Source organism: Homo sapiens, chromosome 18 (assembly GCF_000001405.40).
Source record: "Homo sapiens chromosome 18, GRCh38.p14 Primary Assembly".
NCBI lineage: Eukaryota > Metazoa > Chordata > Mammalia > Primates > Hominidae > Homo > Homo sapiens.
This window is the reverse complement of record NC_000018.10, coordinates 66,506,000-66,525,446: the sequence shown is the minus strand read 5'-3', so window position 1 is coordinate 66,525,446 and position 19,447 is coordinate 66,506,000. Positions and strand designations below refer to the sequence as shown.

The 19,447-nt window shown below is 32.8% G+C and overlaps 1 protein-coding gene across 5 annotated transcripts in view; it reads left to right on the top strand.

Annotated features, from left to right (window-relative positions):
• The window catches only part of CDH19 (cadherin 19), a 103,008-nt gene that overhangs the window by 78,644 nt on the left and 4,917 nt on the right, over positions 1-19,447 (top strand). For 3 of the 5 annotated variants that reach the window (NM_021153.4, XM_047437484.1, XM_011525931.4), the window contains 2 exons: positions 13,762-13,879; positions 16,201-16,452. The exons of 1 other annotated variant lie outside the window; for it this stretch is intronic. In NM_021153.4, coding sequence (NP_066976.1) covers positions 13,762-13,879; positions 16,201-16,452 — 370 coding nt within the window. The remainder of the gene's footprint in view (positions 1-13,761; positions 13,880-16,200; positions 16,453-19,447) is intronic. One more of the 5 variants, NR_073130.2, reaches the window with a different exon arrangement.

The window sequence follows — 19,447 nt, the reverse complement described above, 5'->3', positions numbered from 1 at the left end:
ACTTTTTAAAGTGCTGTTAATCTCTTCCTCCTTCCTAGAAGTGAAATATTAATGTATGAACACTAAAACCAATGAAGCAATCTCTAAAAAAAAATGCTTTCAAAGGTAATAAGGCATAGCTCATGTAACTGAAATGGTGTGCATATGAACCGTAATTATTTTAATGCAATATCTCTGTATAAGTAGTTTTTAAAAATTATTACAAAGGGTAGTAAAAGTTATTTGATTAGGTTCACCATAATCTTAACAATAATATTAAGTGGTGCTGATAAGGAAACTCTGAAGAGCATTCTATTTAGAAGTAAACAGAGAAAATGTTTAAACATAAGGAACAGTTAATCACCAAAATAAGGAAATGTCTACACCATTAGGACACAAATTGTTAAATATGCGTGTCAGATAAATTAAATAATGTAAATTCTGGATTAAGCCAAGAGAAAATCCAGAACCAGTATATACTTTCTTAGGTTTCAAGCAGGGAACTTGGTGGCACAAACGAAATGGAAAAACACTTTGACAGCTCTCCACCTTAGAATGAGAAAATGATAGTAAAGAGAAAGGTGGCACCTTCTTTGATATAATCTCAGCCTGAGATCCCTGAAAGGGAATTGCTAAAAATAAAATTGGGGCAGAATAAAACATGAAGGACACACAATTTAGAGACTGTTGGTAAGAAATAAAAAGCTTCATTATACCAGAAACTAAAAGAAGAGTATGTGCATAGGGTGATAGACTCAGCATGGATTTGTTTCTATTAAGAAACCCAAAACAAAGTTCACTGTTTCCACTTCCCTAGAGTACTCTTTATTTTTATTTTTAAAAATATTTTTAATTAACAAATACAGATAGTACATATTTATGGTGCATGATGATGTTTATATATATATATATATATATATATATACACACAAACATACACGCATATATTGTGAAATGGCTAAATCAAGTTAATTAACATATGCATTACCTACATACTTGTTTTTTGTGGAGAGAACACTTAAAATCTACTCTCAGAAATTTTGAAGTATACAATATGTTGTTATTAACCATAGTCAATTGTTATTAACTATGTACAATCGAACTCTTAAACTTATTTTTCTTGTCTAACTGAAACTTTGTGTTCTTTGTCCACACTACTCTTTAAAAAGGACCAGGCTTCTTCAAAGTTCCAAAGCAGCAGCGCAATAATTGTTTTAAAAAATATTTACAGGTGTCCATGCATGTGTGCACACACACACGCACAAGTTAGGAAAAAAATAAAAATAAAGAAAAAAATAAGCTATCTACATCACAAAAGGAATTATAAAAAGGACAAAGAATGTTTAGAAAAATAGATCCTCACACATTCATGTCAGTTTCTGTGTACTTTAGACAACATGTTAGTCTTTGATTGCTTACATGGTTTCTGGTACAGCAATATGTTCTGGGCTCTGCCACTGATCAATTTAATGCTTCGTGGCGCACATTCATGCCTCAATACCTGCTTAACAAGGTCCTGCGCTGTGCACAGGAATTACGCCCCCCAACCCCCCCGCCCCCACCCCCGGAGAGCTTTTCTCCTTTACGGTGAGTGCAAGGTTGAGCCTTGTCAGTAGAGGGCTGTGGATGAACATTGCAGGAGAAGACTTCTCTTCCTAGATCCAGTACGTGGCATGTTTGCTTTTCCCTTTGTCATACTGCATGGTCAGCTCTCTGGACGTGTGGGGATTTGTGTGGTGCTTTTCCCCAGACGCACATACAGACCCTAATGTACCAAATGTACAGGCACTTGGCAACCAGCAACTGCCGCCTGGGCTCATGACAACCGCCTTGAGACCCACTCCCCCCCCACCCCCACCGAGTGTAAACACTGTGCTCCAGACCTGGCAACGCAGTGAGGTGAGCGCCAAGTCCTGCATATTTATCCTCCAGCCCACTGGTACCCTGGAGGGTTGTTTCTTCTTTCCTGAAGAATGTGGGTTAGAATGTGAACCCAGGCAACCTGTGAACATCTTCCATAGGGTATGCTGCAGCTGCACCTCCTCCAAGGAGGGCTGAAGCTGGTCCCAGGGAGAAGGCTTTCCGCCCACGCTTGGCTGTCCTCTGATATTTTCTCAGAGCGTCAGGATACCCTTTAGAGTTCTCCTTACATCTTTATGATTGCTCTGATATTATAGCTTAGAATTCTATTAGAATTCCTCGTTTCAAATGATCATGTGGTTTTGTCCCTCTGTTGGAACCAGGCTGATACCGAGCCAGGCCTTTCACATTTCCTGTCCTAGATATGGAATCAGTCATTTCCCAAGATTCTGTGATCTGTTAGTGAGGAATTGCAGAAAATACAGATGGAATTGTCAGTAAATAAAATTGGAAAACCTGTCCAATTAATTCCTACGCTTTCTCTTTCATTTTTGATAATGATAAAGGCAGTATTAAAACTTCATCTCATTTTTTTGTGATTTTTATTTTTTTCAACTATTTTTAATTAGTATAAATATTTATAAATTAATGTTTTAGGAAAAGGTATCAATTTTTCAGAGGGTTTTTTAAATTGTAACTATTAAAAATAATTTATAGGTAAACATTATTTCTATCAAATTGCTACAGACAATCTTACATATAGTTCAACATTAGTTTCCAGATATCCCTATAGAAAGTTGTTAAATAATTTTTTTAAGGCCAAAATATTTTAAATGTCTAATAAATACATAAATCCTAGGAATAGCACAGAACTCTTTAAGCTTAAATGTGTTCGAATTAATATGAAACATATTAAAAAGTAACTATACCAAAAAGAAGAAAAAATATATATAATAAAACATATTATATTTAAAAGAAAAAGGATAAAAAGTCAAATTGTATAAAAAATGTTTGAAAGCTGTGTAAAACATTAATAATCGTTTCTATTACAAATAACTGGCCAGGCACAGTGGCTCACACCTGTTATCCCAACACTTTGGGAGGCCAAGGCAGGTGGATCACCTGAGGTCAGGGGTTCGAAACCAGCCTGGCCAACATGGCGCACCCCCGTCTCTACTAAAAATACGAAATTAGCCGGGCGTAGTGGCGAATGGGCGAATGCTTGTAAACCCAGCAGCTTGGGAGGCTGAGGCAGGAGAATCACTTGAACTTGGGAGGTGGAGGTTGCAGTGAGCCAACATCACGCCATTGCACTCCAGCCTGGGTAACAAGAGTGAAACTCTGTCTCAAAACAAAACTACGCCGGGCTGGGTGGCTCACACCTGTAAACCCAGCACTTTGGGAGGCTGAGGCGGGCGGATCAGGAGGTCAGGAGATTGAGACCATTCTGGCTAACACGGTGAACCCCAGTCTCTACTAAAAATACAAAAAAAAATTGCCGGGCATGGTGGCGGGCGCCTGTAGTACCAGCTATTCAGGAGGCTGAGGCAGGAGAATGGCGTGAACCCGGGAGGCGGAGCTTGCAGTGAGCCGAGATCGCGCCACTGCACTCCAGCCTGGGCGACAGAGAGAAACTCCGTCTCGAAACAACAACAACAACAACAACAACAACAACAACAACAACAACAACAGAACAAGTAACTACATAAACCCTGTAACTTTTTGGCAGACTAATACATTTTAATTAAAAATAAAGGCAGGCAGGGGGTGATGGCTGACACCTGTTATCCCAGCACTTTGGGAGGCCGAAGTAAGAGCAGCACTCAAGTCCAGGAGTTCAAGACCAGCCTTTCTGGACTGGACTTTCACACTGTGAAATTCCGTCTCTACATTTTTTTTTTTTAATTAGCTGGGCATGGTGATTAATGCCTGTAGAACCAGCTACCAAGGATGCTGAGGAGGGAGGATTACTTGAGCCCAGGAGTTCAAAGCTGCAATGATCTATGATTGCATCATTGCAGTCTAGCCTGGACAGAGTGAGGACATGTCTCAAAAACAAATAAACAAACAAACAAACAAACAAAATAAATAAATAAATAAATAAAGGCCAGAGATAAGTGAGAAGATAATTATTTGCAAAATCCTGAAGAAGTCATTCTGTCCTCAATATGCAAGAATATTTGCTGGTTGATAAGAAATGTTCTTTATAAAAGTTAGTACCTCGTGTTGATGTAGTAAATGACTTAATGTAAATACCGTGGGTGACTTTGCCAATGAAGAAATTTCCAAGCACTCTGTATCCATTACAGGTGACATATTTATCATTCTGAATGTTTTAACCAGGTAAGAGTACTGTTGAAGCTTTCCCAAATTATTTTCCACAATATGCATTCATAGAAATTAACATTTAAAAAATTTATCAGATCCAGAAACCACATTCTATTTATTACTAATATTAATAGGAAGTGAACATTTTTAGTAAACTGATTCATAGATTGGTTTGATGAATTACTTGTGTGTATAGAAATTTCAGCAAGTATGTAAAAATGTATATAAAATGAAATTATAAAGAAAATTTTATTTAAGAATAATAACCAAAGTAAAGGGTGTTTTGGGACACCATTTATCTAATAAAGCACCTTAAAACTAATAAAAAGAAAAGTGATCTTTCAAAGTACCTCCTAGATTAATAAAACAACCAGATTAATATCTTGAAGTAACACAATTTAAGGCAATAAGATTACATAACAATCAATAAATCATCCTACAGGAGCAACGTTTTCTTGTATTACCTTTATTTTAACATCAAGGTTATCAGACTATCAGACTTGAAGACTTGTATTGAAAAATAATTAAAGGAAAATTCTTTGAATTGTAAAACTTGTTTTTTAAAGTTTGTGATGTGATTATAAGGTTGTCCATGAAATTTGCTGGTTCACTTTTTTTATAATGCAAATCTATTAATAGGTAGAATGGGTAAAATATAAAATTTTAAAACAATATAAAATTCTCCAAATGTGTTTCAGTGAAGATATACAGATCTTAAAATTATGCTTTACAATATTTTCTTTGTTCTTTTCAGTTATACAATAACTCAAATTAACTCAAAAAAAGAAAAAATTATACAATATTTTCTTTACTCTTTTGAAAAAAATTCCTTATCTCCAAAAATAATTGGTAACTTTTTCATGATGGATTTATTTGTATATTTTAGAGATTGCTTAGATGTGCTACAGCATCAGAAAACTGAAAAAAAAAAAAAAAAACAGCTATTTTCTTCCAGCTAGTTATCATTCTTGGCCCCAGGATGGCCAGAGTTTAAAAAAGATAGGCGTTTAATAACTGAGGCTGCTCTATTTCTCTTTCGATTGGAACTGTCTATCACGTTTCTCACTTTTTTGTTTGTTTGTTTGTTTTTTGTTTGAGACAGAGTCTGGCTGTGTCACCCAGGCTGGAGTGCAGTAGTGCAATCTCGGCTCACTGCAACCTCTGCCTCCCGAGTTCAAGCGATTCTCCTGCCTCAGCCTCCCGAGTAGCTGGGACTACAGGTGCATGCCACCACACCCGGCTAATTTTTTATAGTTTTAGCAGAGATGGGGTTTCACCATGTTAGCCAGGATGGTCTCCATCTCCTGACCTCGTGATCCGCCTGCCTCGGCCTCCCAAAGTGCTGGGATTACAGGTGTGAGCCATCACACCTGGCCCTCATTTACTCTTAAGCAATACATAGCACACAGCTTTCCAATGATAGCTGAGTGCATCTTTTTGAATTTGATGGATTTGCCTCTTTTACCCTTTGAGAAAAATGAGCAGGATAGCAAAATAAGTGTTGTTCTTTTTATGTATTATTTAAATGTCTTTTGTTTTTTGTTTCTTTGTTAGGTTTTGTTTTGTCCCATGTTTTTGAAAGGCAAAGTGGTTCTTTAGAGAGGATTGCAATAAACATTTGTTTTCTAGTGTTAAGTTCCTGGAATTTCTGATTGGTATTCTTGATTATTGTCTAAAAATCACATGTATAGGAAACCATGAGATGTAATTCAAATATGTTTCCCCTTATGTGAGAATGAAACATCAAAAACAACAAGCTACAATAACAAAAAGATTACACAGTGCAATAGCTGAAGATCTCTATCACTCATCCACACTACCCCAATTAGATGATAATATCCTAACCATGCTGAATACTAATCTCCTCATTTCAAAAATAATAATACAGCTTCTCCTCTACAATCTCTATCTTCTAAGGATTTTGTAAAGATAAAAAACAAATAAGAAAGAAGGTAAAAGAGGACTGTGGTAAAAGTAGTTTTGTTAATATTAACAGTGACAATTAAGGGTCATGTCATACATTATAAGTTCTTAACATGGAGTTCATTGTCTTCTAAAGAGATTTGAATTAGCTACACGGTGTCTATGTACACTTGACATTGCACACAAACAACATTGTCAATGTCTGTTGGAGATGAGAGTGGAGCAGGTTAATAATGTCGTTCATCAGATGTTTAGGGGAGTCGAATTAACAAAGTAAAAAACAAAAGTTAAGAACTCCACTATAAATGTGTTATAGAGGTTGATTTTTTTGTTTTGTCATCATACGTGTGTGATATTAATAATGTACTACAGGTACATAAGATGTAACCATTGGTTTAGCTGAATGAAGTGTCTGAGAGACTGCATGCACAGGGTTTACATTTTCTTGTGAATCTATAATCATTTCAAAATGCAGGTTTTTAAAAAAAGTCATTAGACTGGAATGAAATAAAATGAAATAATGTAAGAAAAATAGAAAAGAGGATTAAAACAATTATGCTTAATAATACTGAGACTATGTCACAGAGAAGTTTCTAAGGAATATTTTCGGTCAAGAGATTTGTATCGTTGAGTTTCAAAGTTACAGTTAATTTTCATGTTATTTAAACTTTCCTAAAAATAATAAAAAGTTAACAATATACAATACTTTGAAATCTGTAAATATTTTACATATCAAGTCAAAGGAACTAAATAATACACATAAAAATTATATACACGAACTTTTCATTTGATGCTAAGAAACCCTCAGATAAAAGTAAACCTAGGTGGGACACAGTGGCTCACGTGTGTAATCCCAGCACTTTGGGAGGCCTAGGCGAGAGGATCACCTGAGGTCAGAAGTTCGAGACCAGCCTGGCCAACATGGTGAAACACCATCTCTACTGAAACTACAAAAATTAGCTGGGCACGGTGGTGGGCACCTGTAATCCCAGCTACTCAGGAGGCTGAGGCAGGAGAATCGCTTGAACCTGGGAGGAAGAGGTTGTAGTGAGCCGAGATCGCACCGTTGCACTCAAGCCTGAGTGACAAGAGTGAAACTCCATCTCAAAAATAAATAAATAAATAAGTAATGAATAAGAATAATAAACCTAAATCCTAGGTAATAAATATAAGACTTCAAAAGGCACACATAATACGTATAATAATGATAAAATATTATAGTCCTCAATCGATAATCAAAACTTTATGTAATATTGAAACTGATAGGGTAATATAATTTAAAACAGTAATAAGAAAACAATGCCTTCTCTTACACTATTATTTGTTGGAGTTCTAAAGCCAAATTTCATACAATATATAAAGTACATATAAAATAAAGTCACTGAAAAAAAGAAAAATTATTTGAAAATATGAGTATGTAATGCAGTGCTTCCAAATAAATGATAGAATTGTAAATTTTCCTGTAGCCACGTTTAAAAATATAAAAAACACCCAGATAATGTTAATTTTAGTAATGTTTATTTGATATAATATATCCAAAATATCATCTTCACATACTTTTAATTAAAATCATTAACAGAATATTAAATATTTTATACATATTTTTAATTTATGAAGATGATTCTTTTCTCATTTCCCACATGCTCAAACAGCCAGAGAAAATGGCAGGTAAAAGGATGTCTTATATCTATCTACTTTGGATGGATAATAAATTGATCATAGAAAATAAAAATGCCAGAGTAGTCACACTCTACTCTGGAGGAATCCAAACATTTACTCAAATACCTATGTGGGTAAACAAAATTTTTGGTTTTGTTCTTAATGTGTAAGTGGCCAGGGTGGGGAAGAGTAGGAGAGAATTTTCAGCAATTTGCAAATATTAATATAATAAATGAGCTGACATCAGGGTAATTTGCCTTTGCCATGTGGTGCAAATAGTTATCATTTTTCAAATCACTGAGTGCCATTATTTTGACTGATATTAAATGTCTTTTTTTTTGGAGGTAAAGTATAATATCGATAATTTTCAGATTCACTCATACCAATATTTTGTCTAAAGACATTTACCTTGTCTCCATGTAAAAATTTTCTTTTTCCTAAATTTCAGTGGTTGCATTTTGTGATCTATGATTCTCTTCCTTTCACTTTTGTGTCCAAAAGTTTCCTGAACTCATTATTTCTTCTTTTATCCACTTCTTCCTCTCGACTACAGTTCATATCCAAATAACTGTATCTCTGCCTGATTTTTCTGTTTTAAGCTATGTGTCTGACTAACCTGAGAAAACAACTCAGATGTCCCATGGTTACACCAAATTTGCTCCTAAGCCTTCCCTTTCTTCAGTATCCCTAGGAAAATTATTATGATATCAAGTTTTGCAAGAAAAAAAGACATATGGACATCATTTTTAATTAATTCTAGTCTTTATTCTCCATATCCAATCAATAATTTGGTTCTGTTGATCCCATCTCCTACATATGTCTTTAATGTATCAATTTCTCTCTATCATCATTCTTTCTACCCTAATAGGAACCTATATTCTCTTCTAGAGTGAACCTAACCTAAGGGACCTATCTTCTCTTCTAGAGTGAACCTGACCTAAGCAGGTCTGCAGAGGGATGTTCCTGTAAAATCAAACTTTCCTTCATCCAATCTCACAGCACATATGCAGCAATGTATCAGTTTTATAAATCAATTATATTTATTAGGTAAGACTGCAGTCATGCAGTTTCAGGAGAATCAGATTTTACTGGATGGAGAGTAGCGAGGAGAATATATAGCCCTCTTGAAAATGGTGAAAAAACATTACTTTGGTGACATCTTCTGGAGCTCAGCATACCCTTAGGCAAATTTTGGGACTCAGGAATTATATCTCTATTTGAAGCATACTGTACCATTCTCAATTTATGAACACTGCTCAGTAATTTCTGTATTGTTTCTCATTTAAAATAACACATTCCATAATTGTGATTGTTAGTGGGTTTTTTTGTATATCACATAAAGTGATTTTGATTACCAAGCAGTTGTTCAATAGGATCATGACAATAGCTTGCGGACTAGATTCTCTATTTCCAGACTTACACTAAGGATGTCCTCAGAAGGAGCATTCTAAAATGCAGTCCTTTGCCTGGAACCATGTGATCCCAAATAAAAGTAATGATCATGTCATTCCCAACTTAGAGCCTGGGAGTGTCCCTCAGTATAAAGTCAAAACTCTTTAATATGTCCACGATGTATCCCCTGCTCACTTCTGCTGTATGATCTTCTAATTTCAGCACAGATACAAGGTTCTCTGACCCCCCAATATTTAAGTATTAAGTACTTTAGGTGTTTATAACTTTTAAAATGTAATTTGGGTATTCTGTACTTCCTCAATACTTTTTAAGTTTGCAATTCTGCTTGATCTTCTTCACCACTAGAATGTGAACAGTGGTGACAGAGACTAACTTTATCCATGATTGTACCACCAGGGCATAGGATTGCTTGGAGTGCTGTAAGTACTAATGAAATACATTTTAAATGGATACATTTAAGATACTAATGAGATATTTTATAGTTTAATATTTTTCCATATACATGCTGATTTTATGTGAATTTTAAAAGTATATTTGGAATATTAACTTTAAAAGGAAAATTAGAAAATACGTATTGAGATAAAAATCTAGGAATGTGTATTTTTCAACTGAATATCAATTTCTACAAGTTAATGGCAAAAACAATTATAATATCTATGACATTTAAATAAATATAATGAAACTTTGTGAAAAATCCTTTTAGAAAACTTAGAGTATCCTCAGTTCTATCCAGGTCTAAAATATTATGCTATAATGACCTTTTGAACATTTTTCTTCTAATATTTTGCTAAACAAAGAAAGACAACAAGCATACTACAACCTAGACTTTCTTGTTGGTTCTACTTCTATTAGTGTATTATTTTGTACTCTGCCTGTTTGAACAGATGTTCAACACCTTTTTTGAGTTTTATAGATTTATTTTGTCAAAACAGGTGTAATTTAAAATCATTTACTCATTAGAGTAATATAAAAAGTGATGGTCTCATACATATGTTTGTATAATAATTTCTTGGCAATGGGAGACAATCTGCATCTTTAGCCTAATACAAGGTATACCTACCTAGAATAACTAAATAAGCAACTCAGATAAGATTTTTAAGAAAATCTTTCCAGATATTCATTTATTACAACTCCAACTTTTTGTTTAACATTTTTCTATTGAGAAGCATTTTTTTATTGTTTATTAAGTGCACTTCAAGGAATTGATGAGTTATATAAATTAATACTCAGTATTTGTATCTTGATTTAGAGTTCATGATTCAATCTATAGTTTATAATCCTATTCAACAATTTATTCATTGACTAATCCTGGAAGTAGGTTTCATTGTGACTTGCCATGAAGGTAAGGAAACAGACACAAATGTATTGCTTGCTCCAAATATTTGTGTACAAGAGTTGCATCTTAAATTAGCTGTCCATCAATTGCATGTTTAATAAGAACCATCTCTTTGGTTTGAAGAATGTGAGTATTGGGCTTATTTTTGGCTCAGGATAATTAATCTGGAATGATATCTTAGTAAACTGGCCCATGTGTGACTTTTTCTTAAAAAAAGACATAGTGCATAATGATTAATAGCAGGCAAATGATTATCTTTATTCTCCTGATTATCTTTAAAGTCAAATAGTGATTATAGTTTCATAAAATAACTAAATTGGAACTTATGAAACTTCCATTAGTAGGTCATCTTTAATCTACAAAATATTAATTTCATACATTTATACCTAATGTATGATATCTTTGCCTTCATTAATTTTCTTGATATTCTTTGCTTGGGATCACACTTTTTTCCTCAATTCATATTTTTATTTGAGTATTAGCTCATTGGCTGTACTCTTACCCTAGAAAATCTTCCCTTTCTCCCATATCAAAACACATTATTTTCTTCTATTTTTAACCATTATTTTTGGTCCTTATTCTACAAAATTATATTACTTATTTCTCTGTCACTAACTTTTATGAGACATATTTTTACTTGCTTTTGGAATTTCATGTCTTTTACGGTATCATTTTGTATGTAAATCTGGTAGGACAAGAACAAGTCTAGGATATGAACAATATGTCCTAGAGGGCTACACTTACTACTCATATTTCACATTGCCTATGACATCAGCTTACATTCTAATTCTGGCCCAGCCAATTTACTTACCTAAGACACTTAGCTTATATGAAGCTTAATATAAACATTTATAACATGGGAACAATAATAGGATTTATTCCAGAGACCATTGTGAAGATTATCTAAGATAATGTATAGAACAGATCCTGGCCCATAGGTAAGTTCTTATTAAATTGTAGTTACTTTTCAATTCTTGGGGCTTACACAATGTATTTCCATTGTAGCTTTCAATGCACTGTATATAGATGATTGAATGTACTGCATCAGAAATAAATTGGCCAACATTCTACGTAGAGAGCAAAAAGAATACTAAAAATCTGAGCTTTCAGAATTGGTCATAATTTGGAGTTATTTTCATTTTCTCTTTTCCCAATCTCTCAAGCCATGGCTGTTCTTGGTATATACTTTTACCTTTTAATTTATCTTTACTCCTTTCATAAATGTATAAGGTCAACGATAGTTCCCAGATAAAGAGATATAAGTAAATAGCAACCAATACAACATATAGAAGTTTTTCTTATAATTTTATTTTAAAATGAAAATGAAAACCTTTCCATTGGTATATTTAAAGGAAAAATAAATATCCTCCATCAAAACTTATTAGCATATTAATGTGGTCCCTTTATTAGTGGTATGTGTTTAAGTGTACCTGTTCAAGGTAACTTCAATAAAATTCATAATACTTGATATATGACTCATTTTATGTCTGTGTCTTCCTATTTTTATAAAGTAATTATGAAAGCCAGTAAAACATATCTTATTGGAAGCCCAACTTACAAAGCAAATATAAGTGGAGACATGATCATTTAAAAGGAGGCAGACTGTTGAAATCTTGCTCATTCAGTTTCCTGTACATATGCATAAGGTATTTTGATTTATTAAAAATCTTTTGACATACATACAGCATATCTCCAGTCTTCTTAAGTCTTCATTCCCAAAGGGAGACATTTGCAACATTTACTCAGATGCTCATGTTTAATACAGAACATCAGGTAGTAAAATAAAATATTCCTTATCTGAACACTGTAGCCACATATGCCAGCAAGATAAACATGAATTCTATACTTTGTTATCAATCTTATTTCAGCAAATGTGCATATAAAGATATCCATATGCCTATGACTAACAATATTCAGGACACCATGATATGCAAAAACTCAACAAGAGAATATTTTCATGAGGAACACATAATAGACATAGGAACACATAATAGTTTGTCGTGTGACAAACCCTCTGACAAGCCAAGACCTATAATCCTGAAAATGAACCCTGAAGGTTAAGTATTAGTATTTTTATTTTTCAAGGTTAAAAACTTCTAAATGGCAAAGCCAGGATTCAGAATATTGGGTTTCCAAGCCCCTGCCCTCTACCCAGCCTATACAAAATCCTGTAATATTCTAAAATGAAGGCTTTACCTTAACATAAATCAATATCCACATGTATAATTATAAGCATGGATTGAATAAAATGTGTTTTGTTAAATTACTTAATTAACACTAAATGAATATTATTTATTAGTAATGTGTAATGAGTTAAAAATAAATCAATGTGGAGAAGTAATATACAGATCGTATTGGTTTCCTAATGTTCTTTATGCCTGTGAAGATGTATCTATTTTTTTGAAGTATAATATAAATCTGGGCTTGTCATCTTGCATCTGAGGCTATTTTTGTTTGACATATTGTTAAAGGCACTTTAATTGTAGAAAATTCGAAACAATAACTTCTATAATCAATTTACTTTAATTTCCACAATTAATCACAATCTCACTATGTGATCTTGACAGCATATCTTTTTCGACAATAATGAACTACTTGACTGACAGATTCATGTCTTGAAAGAAGAAAATTAATTGAAAATGGATTTGTTCATGTCTGCAGTACTTCATTGTTTTATGATCTGAGATATAGAGATGAACTTATTTGATGTAAAACACTTTCCTATAATCATTATGGGTCAAAGGAAATCATGTACATTGCCCCTACATTTTAAATGCATTATTTCCTCAATCAATTGCAAATCTCATTACTTCAGCAAATAGTTTAGTAAGCCAGTAACTCTACCACAGTTTTGCTCTCAGTAAAAACAGGAAATAGACAACTTTAGCAAATCATAATGTCTGACATTCAGATAAAGAAAAAGTTAAGAAGGAAGAAAGAGTGAAATGTAGGCAGGGAGGATGTGAGTAATACAAAAGCAATGCTTTGGAGACTTTCAACAAACAGCTTTTGGAATCCACCTGATCCATCAACAAGAGTTTGTTTATTATGTAATATTACAACACTCTTTGAAAAAAGGAAGTGAACATATTTTTAACCTGAGAAAAAACATTTTAATATTCTCCACTGATTTGACAGTTATTTTCTGCAATGTCCCTATTGATTGTAATAAAGCAATGTGAATAAAAGCTAATAATAATAGCAGCAGTGATCTTCTTCCTGAATCCAAACAACAACAAAAATCTATCCCCCTTTTTTTTTAGGTAATTCAGACTATCAGTGCAGTGGATAGAGATGAATCCATAGAAGAGCACCATTTTTACTTTAATCTATCTGTAGAAGACACTAACAATTCAAGTTTTACAATCATAGATAATCAAGGTAATGTCATTCACTCATAATGAGTTTTGATACATTTTTGTGACTCATGTTAGACTTTAATGGAATTTATGGCATGGATTTTTATACTGTTCTTGCAACATAATAATGTTTGGAAATCAAGCAAAAGAGTAACAATTAAAATGGAAAACAAAACTCAATGTTAAGTTCTAAAAATATTGACTCCATTTCTCACCGCATTTCTTCAAAGTAGAAACACTTTTTAAAGTTATCAATGGCTGTAAGCTCTTGTAAAGTCTGAATGACCCTGCGAATATAATTGCAGTTCTGACACCACAGCTCCTTTCATGTTCTCATCTAACTCAGACTTCAATCTATGACTGAGGAAGAAAATGATATTTATTTTAGTTAGTCATATTAGCTTGATTGATTCAAAAATATTTAGGGTCATCAATTAGGAGCTTAGAATATGTGAAATTGGGTTAATATAGTTCTTATTCCTTCAAAACTAAATAATTTGTATCAATCTAAGGATTAAGTGTTCCAAAGAACTTTTTGTAGGGGCAGAATTTATTTTTCCTTTCTGTAGAGGTGGATTAACTTTATACAAAGCCACGCTGCTTCTTTTTCATGAGCTTCAGTAAGAGATACTTTTTGTCATAATAAGAACTTCTGTTTTAATTTTTTCATACCTCAAAGTTATGAAACACAGTTGATTTATTACTCAAGTATCTGTAACCAAATACTTGCAGTTCTCCTTACAGCTGAGGTTAAGCTTTGTTCAGAAGAGGCCTTTCATACGAGAGTAAATGCAACACCTTTCTGTCTGTTTTGCCCTCGTCAAATTCCCCCGGGGAGGAAACTCAAATATGTTTCAGACAAAAACCACAAATATCTCTTTCAAGCTCTTTGACAAATCTCCAGACTCCTTTCCACAAAATTTAGCCATGTAACAAACTCTTAGATTCAGGGGGTACATGTATTATTATTATTATTATTATTATTATTATTATTATTATTATTATTTGTTGCAGACTTCAACGTTATTTTATTTATTTATTTTTTATTATTATACTCTAAGTTAAAAATTATATTTTAAAATACATATATTAATATAAATGAATCTAAGCTGGAGTTTTTAAATGTATATATTTAAATACATTGATATTTGTATATATAGATTAATTTATATTAATATAAAATAAATTACTGAGGTGAAATAAATACATTGAAGCATACAAAATTGATTTGGTTTAATGCTTGTGGTCACAAGTAATTTAATAAAACGCATATTTAAAAAGTGTCAACTGTCTCTCAACTCTTAGATCTGCCTAGCGAATAAAATCACATGGGCTTTATAGACCTTAAGGGTTTCATAGTGAATTGTCTTTAAAAAGGTGATTTGGGAAATGTCCTACTTAAGCATGCATTTCAAAAGGCTTTTATTTTCCTTTTACTGCTATTGTCTTCTAAAATTTGGTGACTATAGAAAATATTTTGAGGGATGGTAAAAAAGAAGTAAAGGGAAAATACAGTTCTGAGGTACAAGAAATTACAATGACAAAAGTTATTCATAATATTTTGGGATTCACAGAAGAGTCATTGCATATTTGTTGAAGTGCTTATTGTTTGTTTTCATGAATTTTTTTGAATGGACTCTCTAGGTAAATGAATCAGTCTAAGTGTAATGATTTTCAGAATTTTAAATACAAAATAGATTAATAACAGCAATGTGATATGAAATATACTAATAGGATCTTGTCTACCAAGTGAAATTATTTTGTCTAATTAGAAAATATAGTATTTGAGATCATGTGCTTTGATATATATCTTTGAAAGTCTTGTATATTCCCTGGATTTGTACAAATAATGGGTCACAAGTATTAGAAAATAGACCGTGTCATATGTAATTAACACAAATAAAGCCAGCTCAATCAGCTTATATTTCATATTGGTAGTCCCTATAAATTATTGATATCTGATTAAAAAGCCATTTTCTGTGTTACACGTATGTTTTATATATGTGTCAAAGACATTTTGGAACCAATTTAATTAATTCAATAATAATATAAATACTTTAACTAAATAAGTAGTATCAACTCAATATTTAATAATATTAAATAGTAATTTTACTACATAATTTAAATAATTCATCTGATTACATAATTAGGGTTTAGGTAATGTCAAAACACTAATAATTTAGTGTGGATGTTTTAGTTGTCTTCTCGTCAGAAATTTCGTCTTCCTTTTATTTGAACTTACTTGATCATATCTCTATACTATTGTCCCTAGCACATGTGACTATTACATACAAATTTCTCTTACGTAGTTGAAAAAATTATGCACATGGATTTTTGTTTTAGATAACACAGCTGTCATTTTGACTAATAGAACTGGTTTTAACCTTCAAGAAGAACCTGTCTTCTACATCTCCATCTTAATTGCCGACAATGGAATCCCGTCACTTACAAGTACAAACACCCTTACCATCCATGTCTGTGACTGTGGTGACAGTGGGAGCACACAGACCTGCCAGTACCAGGAGCTTGTGCTTTCCATGGGATTCAAGACAGAAGTCATCATTGCTATTCTCATTTGCATTATGATCATATTTGGTAGGTAGAAGTCATCATTGCTATTCTCATTTGCATTATGATCATATTTGGTAGGTGGTGCTGAACTGAACATATACTCATTTATTTAAAATAACATGATAAATACATAGTTAATTCTATTATAGCATTATAATGTGGGTCTGTGTGTACGTTTATTGCTCCTCTGAATGTAGTATAATTCTTAAATCAAGTGGAGTAAATAAGTGGATAAAAACATGATCTTTGAATTGTATGAGTATGTATGTACACATCTGTTTATGCATGTTCTTGACACATATACAATGTAACAGTATAAAACATGTAAAAATTAGTGATAATAATGGCGAGCTTCTCTCGAGTGCTTATTATACTCCAGGAGACAATCTTCAGTGTTTTATATGCACTATGCAATCCAAACCTCACAATAACCTTATTAAGTAGTAACTAATATCACCTACATTTTCCAGATGAAGGAATAGAAACTCAAAAAGCTTTGTGCTTTATGAAGGGTCACACAGCTAGAAAATGATGTGCTAAGATTCCATGACCACAACACATTGTTATACAACACTGTACTGCAACTGACTAGAGCCCAAGGTGCATTTAAAAAAAAAAACAGCGCAGTAAAATCTACTCTCTTAGCAATTTTCGAGTATAAAATACCTTATTATTAACTATAGTTACCATGTGGTAAAATAGATCTCTTGAATTTATTCCTAATGTCTAACTGAAACTTTGTGTCTTTTGACCAATGTCTCTTCATTCTCTCACCTGCTATCCTGCTACTACCATTCTACTCTCTACTTATGTGAGTTACTTATTTACTTGTTTTAGATTTGTCAAAGTGAGATCATGCAGTGTTTGTCTTTCTGTGGCTGGCTTCTTTCATTTAGTATAATGTTATCTAGTTTTATCTATGTTGTGGCAAGTGACAGAACTTCTTTCTTATTTAAAGCTAAATAGCATTCGTTCTGTCTGTATACCACATTTTCCTTATCCATTAATTCACTGATGGAAACTTAGCTTCCATCAATTCCATATCTTGGCTATCATGAATAATGCTGTAATGAACATGGAAGTGTGGCTATCTCTTCAACATACCACTTTTATTTATAAGTATTTAAGGTGATGAATATATTAATTAAATTGATTTAATCATTCCACAATGTATACATATATCAGACATCACATTGCATACCATAAATGTATATGTTTTTGTCAATTAAAACTAAAAATAATCCAAAAGTCTTTTGTGAATAAAAAGGACAGTAAATGTTAGAAATGAGGAATGTATAAGAGAACGTCTTTTTTAAATCCAAGTACAGAAGAGAAAGAAATCCCAGTAAAAGAGCGCTATTAGTTTTTGTTTGCTTGTTTTTTTCTATTGCTATCACTGTTTTTATAAGCAGATAATTTATATTCATTTCACAAATGAGGCAGCTGAACACCAAAAGGTCTTAATCAGGCTTTCAGGACTATAAAATATTCATCTAGCATAACCTTTTCCTTTTTTTAATGCCAAAATATATAGTCTAAACTCTGCTCTTGCCTCCCTCAAAACTTCAAACCAAAAGCCAATGAAACTACATTGAAGAGTGAGAGCAAATGTATTAGTTTCTGAAATGTCAAACTGACCACTCAAACTGGCATGAGATATGTTTCAGGACCTGCCTTGTCTTCACTTAACTTATCTTTCTCAAGGTTTCAAAACCAATCCATTCCTCATTTACACCTACCATTACAATTGTTTAGGACCTAGCTTCAGTTTTTAAAATTATTTTTAATGATCTTTGATTATGAAGCTGAATTCATAGCTACATAGCTAGATCCAGAAGCAAAGATAAATAGTAAAAGCATAATTTTGGGGGACTAAAATACTGAGCTACCTATAGATACAGACTTAAACCAAGCCCTGAAAATCTACAAACAAACAAGGGGCAGCTTTGTAATTACAAATGTGAGTAAAATTTAGCAGGTGGGAGTTACGGGTCAACTATTACAATAGTGATTTCCTTTGAATGTTTTATAAATGTTTATCTCCAATTCAGATCAGAAAAGTATTTATTAGACTCCTTTCTATTTCAACCATATATATCATATGAGTTCTAAAGTGCAATACATGAATGCAAATATGGTGACCTTATTTAATTTAGATATTTTAAATGCAAGTTTTATATAAATACTATATAACCAACATATTTCTCTTTGTGATACTATTCATAACATTACTTCATGTGTGTTTCAAATCCTACATGTGAAATTCTGAACAGCTACATAAGATCCTAGGTTGGCTCTTGGTTATCCTTGATACCCACACGCAAAGACACACACACACACAGACACACACACACATTTTTATTTAAAATTAAAGCAAAAGTGTTCTGAATTTTTTCTGTTTCTACATGATGTTAAAATTATCTTATGTAATAAATAATAATTCTAGACAAATGTGTTATGATTCAAATGCATGATAGTTTGAAATTTCTGAAATTTATGTGGTGTCACAGAAAACAGGCTCTGAACCAACTTTCTACTTTTGTCTTTTTTTATTTTATTGTATTTATAATTGATACAAATTGGACATATTTATGGGGTACAGTGTGTTGTTTCAATACCTGTATATAGTGTATAATGCTCAAGTCAGCATAATTAGCATATTTGTGACTGAAAACATGTAGCCTTTCTTTGTGGTGATAACATTCCAATTTATCTCTTCTACCTATTTTGAAATAAATTATTAGCTACAATCACCCTACGGTATAATAGAACACCAGAACTTATTCCTCCTGTCCCACTGTAACTTTGCACCAATTGAATAACCTCTCTTCAGCCCCACTCCCCTGACTACTCTCCAAATCTTGGTACCTATCATTGTATTCTCTACTTCTATGAAATCAACTTTTTTAGATTCCATGTATAAGTGAGATCATGCAGTGCTTTTCTTTCTGTGCCTAGCTTATTTTACTTAACATGATGTCCAGCAGGTTCATCTATGTTGCTGTAAATGACTTCACTG